This window comes from Homo sapiens, chromosome 15, assembly GCF_000001405.40.
Source record: "Homo sapiens chromosome 15, GRCh38.p14 Primary Assembly".
Classification (NCBI taxonomy): domain Eukaryota; kingdom Metazoa; phylum Chordata; class Mammalia; order Primates; family Hominidae; genus Homo; species Homo sapiens.
The window spans coordinates 66,688,811-66,704,079 of NC_000015.10; the positions used below are offsets into that span (position 1 = coordinate 66,688,811).

Consider the following 15,269-nt stretch of genomic DNA (forward strand, 5'->3'; position numbering starts at 1 on the left):
CCTGGTCCAGTGTATGACTTTTCTCTGCAAAGGTTGCTTCATGTTCCATGATGACTTCCAGGGCTCCAGCCATCACATCTATAACCTAGGCCAAAGAAGGAAAGGTTGAAGTCAAAAAAAAGGTGCTTCTCGGCTGACTCAGCAGCCTTTATGCAGTCTTTCCAGAAGTCTCACACGATGCTTCTATTTACATCTTATTGGCCAGAAATAGTCACATGGCTACACTGAGTGCAAGGGAGGGAGTAGGGGTAGTCATGTGACTGTGCTCAGGCCAGGGTAGTCTTTTTTTTCCAGGACAAAATTTGCCCAGTTAAAAATAATTTAAATAAGAATAATCATTCTGCTATTAAGAAGAAAGGGGAGAATTGAGGTTGTCAATTGAGGTTGTCTCTGCTTTGGGCCTGAAGTTCTGATTGTGGAGAAGCAGATGCTTCACTAACACTGGGTCTGAGCTCACCAAGTTGCCACAGACCCCACCATGGTTTAATACCTTTCTTTTTCTTTTTTTTTTTTTCTTTGAGACAGAGTCTCGCTGTGTCGGCCAGGCCGAAGTGCAGTGGCGCGATCTCGGCTCACTGCAAGCTCCGCCTCCCAGGTTCACGCCATTCTTCTGCCTCAGCCTCCTGAGTAACTGGGACTACAGGCGCCTGCCACCGCGCCCTGCTAATTTTTTGTATTTTTTTTAGTAGTGACGGTGTTTCACCATGCTAGCCAGGATGGTCTCGATCTCCTGACCTCGTGATCCGCCCACCTCAGTCTCCCAAAGTGCTGGGATTACAGGCGTGAGCCACTGCGCCCAGCTGGCTTAATACATTTCTAGTACTCAGTGTCAGTTACGATTCATCTTTGGGCTTATGTTGGCTTTTTTTTTTTTTTAAGTGAAACTAAGGAGAAAGAATTATTTCCTATTCTTATGTCTCTGTTAAAAATCAAAAGAGCAAAAGATATACCAAGAGAGTCATATATTTCAGGAAAAGCAAAAAAGGAAGCCTATTTCTTTGGGGAAGGGAAAAATATTCCTAGCTGTGTAACATACAAACAAGGTGCATTGAAAATATGCAACTTATCACATTATCATGAAACGGCTGACTTGCTTTACTGACCACTCTGGCCTGGCAGGCACTTTACTGGGTGGGTAGCTCCCTGGAAAGACAGGGGGCCTCAGCCTCCCTGGCTCTGCACAGTGCATCCCTCTTCCTGGGAGGAGGACAGCCCTGTTTTGTCTAACCCCTCTTACCCCTCATTTGGAATTATCTCACCCTTCTTTGTATTCAGGGCTTATTTTGAGCAAGTTCAAAACTGCCTTGCAAAGTTCAAGATCATTATGGCAGGCAAAAATGCAGTGAAATAGCACACCACTGTCAGTTAATTACTAAAAATCCTTTAATAGCTGACATTATTATAAATTATATACCCATGATGACAGGGACAATTGGGCTCTCTGTTTCTCTTGCCCTGCATTGGAACCCCAAACAATGCTGTCTTGTTGGGGAGAATGACCTGGATGCACTTGCAGGCAAGTTGGGAGTTTACATAGGCTACCTTTGCTGACCACACAGGCCCTGGTCCTCTGAGGACACCCTGCTCCTGGGTAGGGATGAGGCAGCTGCCTGACAAGGCCTTAGAACCAACTCTCCCTCCATTTCCACCCCCTTTCTCCACTGCTATTGCTACAAGAGTCTCTTCTTCTTGGACCTCCCAACTCCCTCTGTTCTGCTGCCTGCTTTTCTGCCCATCTAGGCCCAGCTCAAAGAGCCCCTCTTCCAGGCAGCCTCCCCTGATTCTCCTTCCCAAAGCTGCAGACTCATGGTAGGTAGATTCTCTTTTGTCTTTTGAGTCAGGTGTGTAAAGCATACATCTTAAGTGTAAACCTTGATGATTTTTTACGTATGTATATACCATTTAACCTTTTTCCAGATCGAAATGTACATCCTTTCCTAACTCAAAAATGTTACTGTGTGTAGAGGATGTGGAGAAATAGGAATACTTTTACACTGTTGGTGGGACTGTAAACTAGTTCAACCACCGTGGAAGACAGTGTGGCGATTCCTCAAGGATCCAGAACTAGAAATACCATTTGACCCAGCCATCCCATTACTGGGTATATACCCAAAGGATTATAAATCACGCTGCTATAAAGACACATGCACACGTATGTTTACTGCGGCACTATTCACAATAGCAAAGACTTGGAACCAACCCAAGTGTCCATCAGTGATAGACTGGATTAAGAAAATGTGGCACAAATACACCATGGAATACTATACAGCCATAAAAAAGGATGAGTTCATGTCTTTTGTAGGGACATGGGTGAAGCTGGAAACCATCATTCTCAGCAGCAAACTATCGCAGGACAAAAAACCAAACACTGCATGTTCTCCTAGGTGGGAATTGAACAATGAGAACACTTGGACACAGGAAAGGGAACATCACACACCGGGGCCTGTCGTGGGGTCAGGGGAGGAGGAGGGATAGCATTAGGAGATATACCTAACGTAAATGATGAGTTAATGGGTGCAGCACACCAACATGGCACATGTATACATATGTAACAAACCTGCATGTTGTGCACATGTACCCTAGAACTTAAAGTATAAACAACAACAAAAAAAAGTTTAAGAAAATACATAATAAAGGCCCAAGTAAGCAAATAGAAAAAAAAAAATGTTACTGTGTGTAAGAATCCCTTCAGGAGAGGGTAAAAAATGCAGCCTCTGGCCTAACCCAGAGATGCTGATTCGGTGGGCCTGGGATGGCCTAGGAGTCTACAGGTTAGCTACACCCAGGCCTTCAGGTAGAGGGGCCTGCGGTCCACCCTTGCAGAAACCACCCAGTGCTTCCTGGGATAAGTCCTGTGTCTTCTTAGTTACTCCCCTGTTGGTGGGGGGGTGGGGCATGCTCTGGTCCCTTTTATCTGGGGGCCCAGAAAGGTTTTGGGTTGAAAGCAGCACCTGCAGGGGTGGATCCAGGCTGGATGCAGCCTGAAGCTACAATTTGGGAAGCTGTCTTTGAGAAAAGAACACTTTGTTGGGTACAGGGTCCTGTAAGGGCCTCCTACAACTGATGTTTTCCCACTTTCAATCCACCCAGGCAGCCAGCAAGAATTCACAGTCTTAGAAGTTGTTGAGGTGAGAAGTTGTTTGCTAGACAAGACAGATCACTCCCCAGCTGACCCCTTCCATCCACAGGTATAGCCATGGAGATCTTGGGCCCTGCCCCATACTAGAATCACCTCAGGGAGCTAAAAAAGCAAAAATAACCAACACACTTGGGCCCCACACCAAATATTCTGATTAAATTGGTTTGGGGTGGGGATTGGGCTTTAGCGGTTTTTTAAAACTCCCAGGTGACTCTAATACACAGCCAAAGCTGAGACCCGCTGAGCAGAGACTTGATTCTGGATTTTAATCTTTCCTTATCTGCTCCAGACTTACACTAAGAGAATGTCAAGCGAATGCACCTCCCACCACTACCTTCCGCCTCTCCCTCTGAAGGGGCTGGGACTCCTGGCTGTGGTCAGTGTTCTCAATGCCAACCATGTACCTGGCCCACCTCCAGTGCACCCCTTCCATTTTGGGGACAAATCAACCAGTAGTAATGGGCGTTTATTAAGCATCATACATTATTTCCAATCCTCAGGGCAGCCCTGTGTTTTAGCAGGGAGGACACTGAGCTCAAGAAGCCTTAGTGATTGCTTTACAGTGGTCTAGTGGGTAAGTGCTGGAGCTGGGATCAAATCCAGGTCTTCACGGCTCCAAAGCCAATGTGTCTTTCCCTGAGCCAGGTTGCTCCTAGAAGCAGTGCCTGTTTACTGAATAGCAGTCATGCCCGAGGTACAGGCCCAGGGCTGACTTATCCATTAGGTACAGCAAGTCCAGGGCCTAGGGCCCATGATATTTCAGGGGGCCTACAAAATGTTTCAATTTCAATTTTCTTTAAAGCAATAATAATAATTGTAATAATAAATATATAACAACAAATCCAGCCTGGATTTCATTTGTCTTGATGCCAATACACTTGTAAAATATACTTTTAAAAAATGGTATGGGAGAAGGGGCCTGTGAAGGCAGTGTCTAAGGCCCATGAAAGTCATAATACCCTGGAGGGCACTGGTGACTGTGTCCTTCAGCCCCTTCCAGAGCATGGCTCAGGCTAGTAGGAATTAAGCAAGGAATGTTTATTACACACTTTCTGTACGCCTCACTCTGGGAAGTAAATAAGAGCATAAAGCCTGTCCTGGTCTGCCTAGGAAGAGGAGATGTACACACAGGAAACTAAAAGCAAGACAAGACAGGATGCACGCTCTGACTGTCGGCAGTTCTTACTTAGATCTCTTCTTGTTTTTGTCGTTTCATTTGTCATTTAGTCAGTGTTCTGCTTTGCAGGTTACTGAACTGTTTCATGTACTTAATGATTTAATCAACAATTCTTTTGTTGATTTCTTCCTTCCTTCAACAAATATTTACTATTTTAATAATATATTTATTATTTTAAAATACTTGAGTGTGTGTGCGTGTGTGTGTGTGAGACAGGATCTCACTATGTTGCCAGGCTGGAGTGCAGTGGTTATTCACAGGCATGATCAGAGCACATTTTGGCCTCAAACTCCTGGCTTTAAGCAATCCTCATGCCTCAGCCTCCCGAGTAGCAGGGATTACCACTGTACCTGGCCCTGATATAATAGTTTTTGAATGGATAATTCAGCTCATGGTGCAAAAATTCAGGAGGTACTGTAGGATATACACAAAGAAGGCTGAGGGCAGGAGAGAGAGAGAGAGGCCTCTTTTGTACTGAATCTTTGGTACTGCTTATATTTTGTACCAAGCTCAAGTATTACCTATTTATTAGAATAAAAATAACCAAGCAAACAAAAAACCAGATGGGTATGGGTTGAAGAGTTTATTCACCCAGCTTTCTAGCCTTCTGGTTTCCTTCCCCAGAAGCAACCATTTATACCAGCTTATCATGTATCTTTCCAACATTTACGTGTCTACAAGCATATAGGCTTTTAAAAATTTCATGCAAATTGTAGCACACTGTACACATTGTTGTTAGCTAATGCCTTGATTTTTTTTTTTTTTTTTTTTGAGATGGAGTTTCACTCTTGTCACCCAGGATGGAGTACAATGGTGTGATCTTGGCTCACTGCAACCTCCGCCTCCTGGGTTCAAGCGATTCTCCTGCCCCAGCCTCCCGAGTAGCTGGGATTACAGGCATGCGCCACCATGCCCAGCTAATTTTTGTATTTTTGGTAGAGATGGGGTTTCACCATGTTGGCCAGGCTGGTCTTGAACTCCTGACCTCAGGTGATCTGCCCACCTCAGCCTCCCACAGTGCTGGGATTACAGGCGTGAGCTACCACGCCCGGCCTGTGTTGAACTTTTTATACAGGAGGCCCCCTCCTTCATCTTCAACAGCTGGATGATATACCTTAATTTCTTTAACTACTGCTAATTTCTTTATCTTGTATCGATAAAGTTAAGGTTGTTTCCAATCTCTTTCTTTTTGCTATAAAGTAACCTTATGGAGCCTAACTCCCCCCTTTCAGTTATACAATACACGACCATATACATGTGTCGTTTCACTCATATGCAAGTACATCTGTATGGTGTATGTATAAACTGGAATTGCAGGGTCAACGTATGGGCATTGCTGCAGGGAGGGGAAATTGGCACAATTTCTCTGGGGTACCCAGTTTGGCTATATCTATCAAAAGTTAAGATCTGTCTCCTCTCCCTAAAAGAGAGCACCTCCTGGGTGCTGGGTTAGGGGTGCAGAGATGAGGAGGGCTCAGGCTTTGCTCTTGAGGGTCTCTCCAATGTGGACAAATCATCTCCAGCCCTAGGAAGTAGGAATGTAAAATGCCAGGGCAGTGCAAGGAAGATAGCCTTGGGGAGAAAGGGGGAAAAAATTTGCCCAGAGGAAAAGGAGTAAGGACATTCCAGGCAGATGGACCAGCAAGTGCAAAATTTGGGATATTAGAAAGCAGGTGGGGCACTTTGGGGTGTTCCAGAGAGCAGCCCTCTCTTGTTCAGGATTCATGTAGTGGAGCGGTGGGGAGATGAAGTGGGACCTGCTCCTAACAGGGCTGGGAGGTTACTCTTTAGCTTGTTAGCCACGGGGATCCACTAAAGTGTTCTCAATCAGGAAATCTGATAGTCAGAGAGGACTGCTAGAAGGCTCTCTCTGGCCATGTTATAAAAGAGTGATTGAATACAGACATTTCTTTAAATAAACTCCTAGTACCTGAAGGGCAGGGCTCCCTGCACTAAATGCCTTTGGCCCATAGTAAGTGCCCAGTAGAAATGCTCTGTTGAATTTTAGCCAGGCACCAAAATGTGACACATCTCTGGTTATCATTTCTCAACTGAGGGCTTCTACAATCCCCTAAAGGTTAGAAGAGTGAACCTCCTCCAGGAGGGCCGAGGTCAGGTCTGTGATCAGTCTGGGGTCAGGGTCTGATGCTGCTTACAGTGACCGTGACACGCTTTAGAAGTCTTCCATCTCTGTTCAGAACTCATGAGAATTGTGCATTCTATTCCCTGATATATCTGGGTTAGCTTGAATATTAAAGATCAAATATACTACAAATGTAATACAAAAATAAATTTTCAGGCGGGGCGTGGTGGCTCACGCCTGTAATCCCAGCACTTTGGAAGGCCAAGGCCAGTGGTTCACCTGACATCAGGAGTTCGAGACCAGCCTGGCCAACATGGTAAAACCCCGTCTCTAGTAAAAATACAAAAAATTAGCTGGGCATGGTGGGGGCACCTGTAATCCCAGCTACTCAAGAGGCTGAGGTGGGAGAATCACTTGAACCCAGGAGGTGGATGCTGCAGTGAGCTGAGATCATGCCATTGCACTCCAGCCTGGGCGACAAGAGCAAAACTCCGTCTCAAAAATAAAATAAAACAAAACAAAATAAAATAAATAAATAAATTCCCCCAACATCTGTGAATGAAATAAGCTCTGCAGAAAAATCCCTTGATTCCAAAAGTCCCCACATTAGCCCAGTTTGAGGAGGATGGATTTAGGTAATGCAGGCTCACAGTCCTCACCCTGGCCTCTGTACAACTGCCTCCATCCCTTTTAACAACCATGAAACTCACTGCACTTTGCTCACTCATGTTTCCATTCATTCATTCATTCATTCATCCATGCAATATTTTTGAAGGCTGATAATGTCCAGGGCATTGCCCTCCCCTATGGGTACACAAGGAGCAGAATAACAGTGGCAGCTCTAAATGCTTTGCACGTATTATCTCAGTCAACTCTCACAATGACCATATGAGATAGGTACCGAAGCTTAGTAACTTTATTAATCAGATTATTGAGCTGCTGAGTCCTATAGTGTGCCAGAACTTTATTCATTTAACTCCCACCTTGGTCCAGTTGGTCCACTTTACAGGCGAGGGAAGTGAGGGTCACAGAGGTTAAATAGTTTGCAGGGTTGCTGTTAGTTCAGTGGCTTAACTTGAAAATGACTGACTCCATGCTCATTTCACTAATAAAAACTACTTTTGATTGAGCCCTTACTAGATGCCAGACACTGCGCTAAGCATTTTGATCTTCAAAACAACCTCCTAATATTATTATTACTATTACCAGCAAAAGATTAAGCATCAATGACATGAGTATACTGTTCAGATGTTCTTTTATACTTTCAAAGATGTGACAGCAAATCATGCTGGCTCTATCTTTAGGATATATAAAATGTCCAGGATCCAACTTCTGCTCCCCCACGTCCACTGCTCTCACCCTGGTCCAAGCCACCATGGCCTCTGGCCTGGACCACTGCCACAGCCTCCTACCAGGTCCTGCTCCCACCCCACCATTGCAGTCAGTTCACAAGGCAGTTCAAGGGAGCCTCTTGAAACAGAAGGGAGATCCTGTTCCTTTTCTGCTCAGAACCTCCAGGGGCTCCCAAGTCACTCAGATGACTAGCCAAAGACCCAACAATAGCCTATACGAACTTACAATCTGCCCCCAATATTACTCCGATCTCATCACTTTTTTGATGGTCCTGGAACGTGCCAGGTCTGCTCCTATTTCAGGGCCCTTGCACTTGCTGTTCTCTGTGGCTGTGACATTCTTCCCCTAGATAGCATCATAGCTAATTTCCTCCCCACTCTATCCCCACCAGCAAGACCTAGCTCAAATGTCACCTTCTCAGGGAAGCCTTCCCTGATCACTTCCTTTAAACCACAACCTGCCGTCTCCCAACATTCCTTTCTCTTCTTCTCTGCTTTATTTTTGACCTTGGCACCTTTACCTTCAATACACTGGCTACCAGGTTATTTTGCTATGATTTCCCCCTTAGACTCCTTGAGCTAGGAATTTTTGTGTTTTGCTTACTGCAGGATGGCCAGCATCTATAGGAGGGCCTAGCACCTATAGGAGGGCCTGGCACCCAGTAGGAGCTCCGTAATTTGTGTTAAATGAATGAACACAAAGTTCCATTCATTCACATATGCATTTTCCAAGGTAGAGAGGGTCTAGAGCATTCATCAGAGCTTCAAAAGGGTTGTTTACCACTGCCCAAGGGTGCCCAACTCTCCCATTTGGGGCAATGTTGACCAAGCAGATTTACCCTCCAAAGGGGGAGACAATACCACTTAGCCACTTGGGCCTACAGATAGTCTAAAAAATTTGGGCCATAAGAGTTAATAAGTGGGACCCTGGTTTATCCATCAGTCTCTTATGAAGTGGGTCATGATGACTCAGTCTCCCTGCCAATCCACCTGCCTATAGCGAGAGGTGGCCCAGATCCCCTCTGTGATGTCTCTGTTCATAAGCGGTAGCCCGTAAATACTGCTCCTTTTCCACCACCCAGAAGCAACCTTTCCCTTGCATGATTTCTACTGTTTCATGCCTTGTGCCTTCCCAGTAGTGTGAGACATTTCCCAGGGGCAAGGGACTGGTTTTCTTTTCTAGGACTAGGTGTTAAGAAGATGCACACACATCTCACGCAGCTCTGGGTTCAACTCTCAACTCTGCTACCTACTTGGTGTGTGATCTGTAACAAATTACTTAACCTCTCTGTTTCCTCCTCTAAAAATATGGGTCTAGGAAGAATAAAACCTTCTTCACTGTGTTGTTGGGGGGATATGATGAAATACTGATGTGCTTGGCACAGGGATAAGTATGGAGTTCAGTTAAGTGGGGGATTTTATTTCAACCACTCTACAAATATTTATTGAGTGCCCACTATGTGACAGGCATTGAATTAGGGACCAGGAAGAAGAAATGGGGCAAGTGCTGTCTTATGTGATTTAGCTTTTCAATGGCACAGGCAGAATGGCATCAAATGGCCTGTTTCTGACTCCACTGCCTCCACGCTGCTGTGGGTGGCCTGGGCCTGCTACTTTCACCATCTCATCCCTTGTGGAGCTTACATCCCAAAGGTAGAGGGGAACAGATAAAAGATTGTACGGTTTTGAATTGGGACAAGCCCAGTAAAGAGGAAGCATAGAGTGCTTTGGGGAAAATACTGGAATAAGAGAGTGGGGACACATTTGAATCTGAGGGGGTCAGAGTTACTTGTGAGTTACTTTGTGAGTAACTCGGGTGCAGAGACCTGTGGATAAGCATCAGGGACCCCACCTTCTTCCTTTCCTCTCTTTTCTCTACATCCCTAGGGATTTGGAGCTTGCTCTCCAGTCTGGCAGCCTCGAGGGAGGGTGTACTTAGGTCATAGCATAGCCCTGCCCTGCTGGGCCCCGCCATACACACCCTCTAGTGGCCACAGCGCATGCCAGGCACTAGGCTGGATGGGCCCTAGGAATCCAAGGACAGCAGGACTGTCACTGCTCTTCCCATCCTGACATTATCTCCACTCAGATGCAGTGGCCCTGTAAGGAGGGCTGCTTCTAGGTCCTCTTGTCACTTAATTTTGTCAGCCACCTCCAGCATGATTCTTATTTCCACTGCACAGATGAGAATCCCAAGGCTCATAAAGTTGAGGGAGGTAAGTAGGGTCAGTACTGAATTTAGGCCCACTGGACTCTGGTTTCAGTGAGCTTCAGGTGGCATCGTTCCTGAGCACATCAGGAACGATGCCACATCTCCCAGTGAGCAAGAGATGATGCCAGATTTTGCCATTACTGCCCAGCAAAGAAGGCAGATCCCCCCAGAAAGGTCACTGCTTCAATCTCTCCTTGGTCTGAGGCTGTTGGGGCATCTCTCAGGGCACTTCCCCAGGAACTCTGCAGATTGGGATGCCATGGTACCTCAGAGAGGCATGGGGGTGGAAGTGGGAAGAAGGGAGCCCCTAGGGGTACGTGCTGAGCATCTGTAGAAGCACACACATCCCTGCCCTCAGGAGGTCCTGCAGGTTACCTGCTGGTAATCCTTCCTGCCCGGCCCATTTCCTTTGCTTCCCATTACACAAGCATACCCCTTCTTCAGCCAAACTGGCTGGGTTTTAATCCGGCATCGGCTACTAATTATAAGCTTGTGCAAGTTACTTTTGGCAAGCCTTTGTGCCTCAGTGTCTTTATCTATAAAATGGTGATAATAGGCCGGACGTGGTGGCTCACACCTATAATCCCAACACTTTGGGAGGCTAGGGCCGGCAGATCTCTTCAGGCAGGTCAGGAGTTCGAGACCAGCCTGGTCAACATGGTAAAGCCCCGTCTCTACTAAAAATACAAAAATTTGCTGGGCATGGTGGCGCATGCCTGTAGTTCCAGCTACTTGGCGGGGCTGAGGCAGGAGAATCACTTGAACCCGGGAGGTGGAGGTTGCAGTGAGCCAAGATCGCACCACTGCACTCCAGGCTGGGGATAGAGTGAGACTCCGTCTCAAAAAATAAGCAAAAAATGGTGGTAACAGGCCGGGCGTGGTGGCTCACGCTTATAATCCCAACACTTTGGGAGGCCGAGGCAGGCGGATCACTTCAGGCAGGTCAGGAGTTCGAGACCAGCCTGGCCAACATGGTGAAACCACGTCTCTACTAAAAATACAAAAATTAGCCGGGCATAGTGGTGCATGCCTATAGTTCCAGCTATTTGGGAGGCTGAGGCACGAGAATCACTTGAGTGCAGAGCTGAGATCCCACCACTGCACTCCAGTCTGGGGACAGAGCAAGGCTCTGTCTCAAAAAAATAAATACATTAAATAAAAAATAAAAATAAAATGGTGTTAACAACCACAGCTATCCCCAAAACGTTGTATTCTGGGGCCTCAACCCCTGACACTTTGATTCAGCAGGTGGACCTTTGAACCACATTTTGGAAATCCCTGCCTAAAGAGTATAGTCTGGCATCACAGACCTACACACCACTTCCAGCCAGAGGATGAGCAGGCGTGCTGGTTCATGCCTCTCTGGTTTTAGCATGTTAGCATTGTCAATGTCATCCTCGTTTTAGTGGCAAGTTACATGAGTGAGCTCCTGTGCCTCAGTTTTCCTCATCTGTAACTGGAGATAATAATAGTAACTATGTTAAGTCCTTATATATTAATAATAATAGTACCTATGTTAAGTGTTGTGAGCGTTAACTAAGTCCTGGAACATTGCCTTGCCCATAGTAACGACTCAATACGCACGAACTATTATTATTGTAATACACAGTCAAAGATAATCCACAAAGAGCATACACGGGGATAAAAGAAAATACACTGAGTTTCTGTTTGTATTTTAAGATGTATTAATTTCCCCATGGGCGAAAAGTGACTGAAAGGGGCCACAAGACAGGCTTCTGGGGTGCAGGTCAGGTTGCTTTTTGGGTGCTGGTGACATCATGTGTGTTTGTTCACGTGTGAAAATTCATCCTGCTGTTCGCTTGCGATTTGTGCATTTAACGTGCACTATCTCCAGGGACCTTCGTGGTTCTGTGAAGCACGAAGGGCAAGCATCCTCATCCGCGGTTTCAAACAAGAAACTGAGGCTAGGACCGCTACTTTAATTTGGCCAAAGTAGTAGGGGATGGGTGTGAGGAAGTGTCTCAGTCCGATCTTTCTTTCGGGGAGCAACGGCCACTCTCAGAGAGCGCAGCGCGAACAGTACCTGGTTCCAGGTAAAGCTCAGCAAAGGGTTCTGAATCCTCCTTGCAAATGCCACCCTTCCCCCAGCGCACACAGACTCTGGGCACGGCCGGGGGTTCGCACCGCCGCGCACTCCCCAGGCTAGCTCCACGCGTGGTCACTCTCCAGGGAGACCCGCCCGCCGGCGCCCCGCGGTCACCGCGGGGGAATGGCGCCCAGCCCCGGGCCAATGAGAGTAGCGGAATTTCTTTCATTCAGCGCGGGGCCAGGCTCCTGCCCGGAAAGGGGCGGGGCGCCGCGCCGGGGGTGGGGCCGCCGCGCGCGGGGGGAGAGGGCGGGGCCGGCCCCTCTGCCTGGCCAATCGGCGCCGCGCCCGGGGGGGGAGGGGGGCCCAGGCCTTTTTTCCCCTCCGCGCGGGACCAATCCCGACTTTACAAGCTTGAACTTTTGCCACCCTCGGACTAGCGAGCGCGCCCGAGGAGGTACCCCGCCGCGCCGGCTCCAGGGGCAGGAGCGGCCTTAACCCTTCCCGCGCCGGGCGTCAGGCTGCTGCCGCCGCGCCCCCGATCCCGCCCCCAACCCACCCCCATTTTCGCGTGGAAACCTCTCTAGGGAAAGCGTGATCCCTCACCTACAGCCCTCTCCGAGGTGCGGAGAGTAAACTTGAGAAGGGAGAGGAAGCACCCGGCCTGGAGGGGGCCCGGCCGGCCGGCGGCCCGCCTCGCTCCAAGGGAGGGCCGTGGCGACCGAGAGGAGCCAGCGAGTAGACACTCCCCGCCTCTACCCCACCCTCTCCATCTCCCCACTCCGGGCGAGCCTGGAGCCACCGTACGCAAAGCGTCCTGAGCTCCCTGTTTGGCCCGGCAGAGCGACCCCCGACTTTGTGCAAGGAGCGTAGAGCCCCTAGTGCAGTCACGGAAGATCCGCTACCCCAACATATCCGCCGCCCCCTGCTCCTCAGAGGCTCAACCCTGGAAGGCACACATGCACACCCATTTTTATTAGCCTACCCTAGGATGGGGGTTTGGAACAACTTTAAAGTGCAAAGTGTGTTTGTAAGTTTGTGCACAAGCCAGGGAGAGGCAAAGCGCCCCGTTTGCGTCCGAGTCTCAGTGGGTCCGCCGAGCCTTGCGCGCCTGCTCGTGGCTCGTGTAACCCTGTGTGTGTGTGTGTGTGTGTCCGCGCGCGCGTGTGTGCTCGCTCGCATCCGTGCTCTGGGCGCAACGCGAGGCAGAAAGCGGGCCGCGGGCGCTGTCAGGCCCTGGGCGGGGGTGCCGGGGTGGTGTGGGGCGGGGGCCCGAGCTCGGCCCGCCCCGGGAGCCGGCCCCTTGGAGCCTCCGGCCCTGCAATGGGACGTGTTCTCCTTTAAGAGTTAAGAAACTTGAAACCTTGTTTGCGCAACAATCAGCGCCGCGGAGCCGCCAAAGTGTCTAGACTGGCATATGATGGGAGGCAGCCAATGACTCCGCGGCGCTCCTCCGGGGGCCCTCAGTGTGCGTTTGAGGAGAACAAAAAAGAGAGAGAGAGCCGAGCGGGGGAGCGATCGAGGGAGCTGAGCCGAGAGAAAGAGCCGCCGGGCGCTGCCTCGCCAGACCTCGCTGGGACCCCGGGGCCACCGGGAGGCACTTTTGTGGAGGGGGGAGGGGGGGCGACCTCGGCAGCCTCGGCGCACGAAGCGTCCGAGGGCAGCGTGGGGCGGGCTGCGACCTCTGCATCGGTGGACTGCATTTTTAATTAAGGATTCCCAGCAGCTCTTTGGGATTTTTACAGCTTCCACTCATGTGTTGACACCCGCGTCCAGGAGAAACTCGCTCCAAGTGCATCTAGCGCCTGGGACCTGAGACGGCGTTGGCCTTTCGTGCATGCAAATCCAGGGATTTAGGTTTTGTTTGGGATTTCCTTTTCTTTCTTTCCTTTTTTTTTTCTTTTTGCAGGGAGTAAGAAGGGAGCTGGGGGTATCAACAAGCCTGCCTTTCGGATCCTGCGGGAAAAGCCCATGTAGTTAAGCGCTTTGGTTTAAAAAAAAGGCAAGGTAAAGGCAGGGCTTTCCAGACACATTTAGGGGTTCGCGCGAGCGCTTTGTGCTCATGGACCAGCCGCACAACTTTTGAAGGCTCGCCGGCCCATGTGGGGTCTTTCTGGCGGCGCGCCGCCTGCAGCCCCCCTAAAGCGCGGGGGCTGGAGTTGTTGAGCAGCCCCGCCGCTGTGGTCCATGTAGCCGCTGGCCGCGCGCGGACTGCGGCTCGGCGTGCGCGTGTTCCCGGCCGTCCCGCCTCGGCGAGCTCCCTCATGTTGTCGCCCTGCGGCGCCCCTTCGACGACAGGCTGTGCGCGGTCTGCACGGCGCTCCGCGGCGGAGCTTCATGTGGGGCTGCGACCCGCGCAGCCGGCGCCTCGCTGAGGGAACGGACCCCCGGTAACCGGAGACCGCCTCCCCCCCACCCCTGGCGCCAAAGGATATCGTATGTTCAGGTCCAAACGCTCGGGGCTGGTGCGGCGACTTTGGCGAAGTCGTGTGGTCCCCGACCGGGAGGAAGGCGGCAGCGGCGGCGGCGGTGGCGGCGACGAGGATGGGAGCTTGGGCAGCCGAGCTGAGCCGGCCCCGCGGGCAAGAGAGGGCGGAGGCTGCGGCCGCTCCGAAGTCCGCCCGGTAGCCCCGCGGCGGCCCCGGGACGCAGTGGGACAGCGAGGCGCCCAGGGCGCGGGGAGGCGCCGGCGCGCAGGGGGCCCCCCGAGGCCCATGTCGGAGCCAGGGGCCGGCGCTGGGAGCTCCCTGCTGGACGTGGCGGAGCCGGGAGGCCCGGGCTGGCTGCCCGAGAGTGACTGCGAGACGGTGACCTGCTGTCTCTTTTCGGAGCGGGACGCCGCCGGCGCGCCCCGGGACGCCAGCGACCCCCTGGCCGGGGCGGCCCTGGAGCCGGCGGGCGGCGGGCGGAGTCGCGAAGCGCGCTCGCGGCTGCTGCTGCTGGAGCAGGAACTCAAAACCGTCACGTACTCGCTGCTGAAGCGGCTCAAGGAGCGCTCGCTGGACACGCTGCTGGAGGCGGTGGAGTCCCGCGGCGGCGTGCCGGGCGGCTGCGTGCTGGTGCCGCGCGCCGACCTCCGCCTGGGCGGCCAGCCCGCGCCGCCGCAGCTGCTGCTCGGCCGCCTCTTTCGCTGGCCCGACCTGCAGCACGCCGTGGAGCTGAAGCCCCTGTGCGGCTGCCACAGCTTCGCCGCCGCCGCCGACGGCCCTACCGTGTGCTGCAACCCCTACCACTTCAGCCGGCTCTGCGGGCCCGGTGA

At 50.8% G+C, this 15,269-nt stretch overlaps 1 protein-coding gene across 3 annotated transcripts in view, besides 5 other annotated features; it reads left to right on the forward strand.

The window, feature by feature from the left end:
• Window positions 11,560-12,060: an enhancer, noted in NCBI's record as "H3K27ac hESC enhancer chr15:66992708-66993208 (GRCh37/hg19 assembly coordinates)". NCBI's record gives its function as "activates a minimal SCP1, AML or CMV promoter by ChIP-STARR-seq in naive H9 embryonic stem cells {active_cell/tissue: H9 hESC(naive)}" and the evidence as "EXISTENCE:reporter gene assay evidence [ECO:0000049][PMID:30033119]".
• Window positions 12,013-12,492: a silencer, noted in NCBI's record as "silent region_6566". NCBI's record gives its function as "represses an Ori minimal core promoter by ATAC-STARR-seq in GM12878 lymphoblastoid cells {active_cell/tissue: GM12878}" and the evidence as "EXISTENCE:reporter gene assay evidence [ECO:0000049][PMID:35858748]".
• Window positions 12,105-12,291: a silencer, noted in NCBI's record as "fragment chr15:66993253-66993439 (GRCh37/hg19 assembly coordinates)". NCBI's record gives its function as "represses an EF-1alpha promoter that drives an FKBP-Casp9 reporter gene in an ReSE screen in K562 erythroleukemia cells {active_cell/tissue: K562}" and the evidence as "EXISTENCE:reporter gene assay evidence [ECO:0000049][PMID:32094911]".
• Window positions 12,623-12,702: a silencer, noted in NCBI's record as "silent region_6567". NCBI's record gives its function as "represses an Ori minimal core promoter by ATAC-STARR-seq in GM12878 lymphoblastoid cells {active_cell/tissue: GM12878}" and the evidence as "EXISTENCE:reporter gene assay evidence [ECO:0000049][PMID:35858748]".
• Window positions 13,153-13,332: a silencer, noted in NCBI's record as "silent region_6568". NCBI's record gives its function as "represses an Ori minimal core promoter by ATAC-STARR-seq in GM12878 lymphoblastoid cells {active_cell/tissue: GM12878}" and the evidence as "EXISTENCE:reporter gene assay evidence [ECO:0000049][PMID:35858748]".
• SMAD6 (SMAD family member 6) overlaps window positions 13,426-15,269 on the forward strand; it is an 80,614-nt gene continuing 78,770 nt past the window's right edge. For all 3 annotated transcript variants that reach the window (NR_027654.2, XR_931827.3, NM_005585.5), the window contains exon 1: window positions 13,426-15,265. Coding sequence is in view for 1 of the 3 variants with exons in the window: in NM_005585.5 (NP_005576.3) it covers window positions 14,449-15,265 (817 nt within the window). In the remaining 2 variants the exon portion in view is untranslated. The remainder of the gene's footprint in view (window positions 15,266-15,269) is intronic.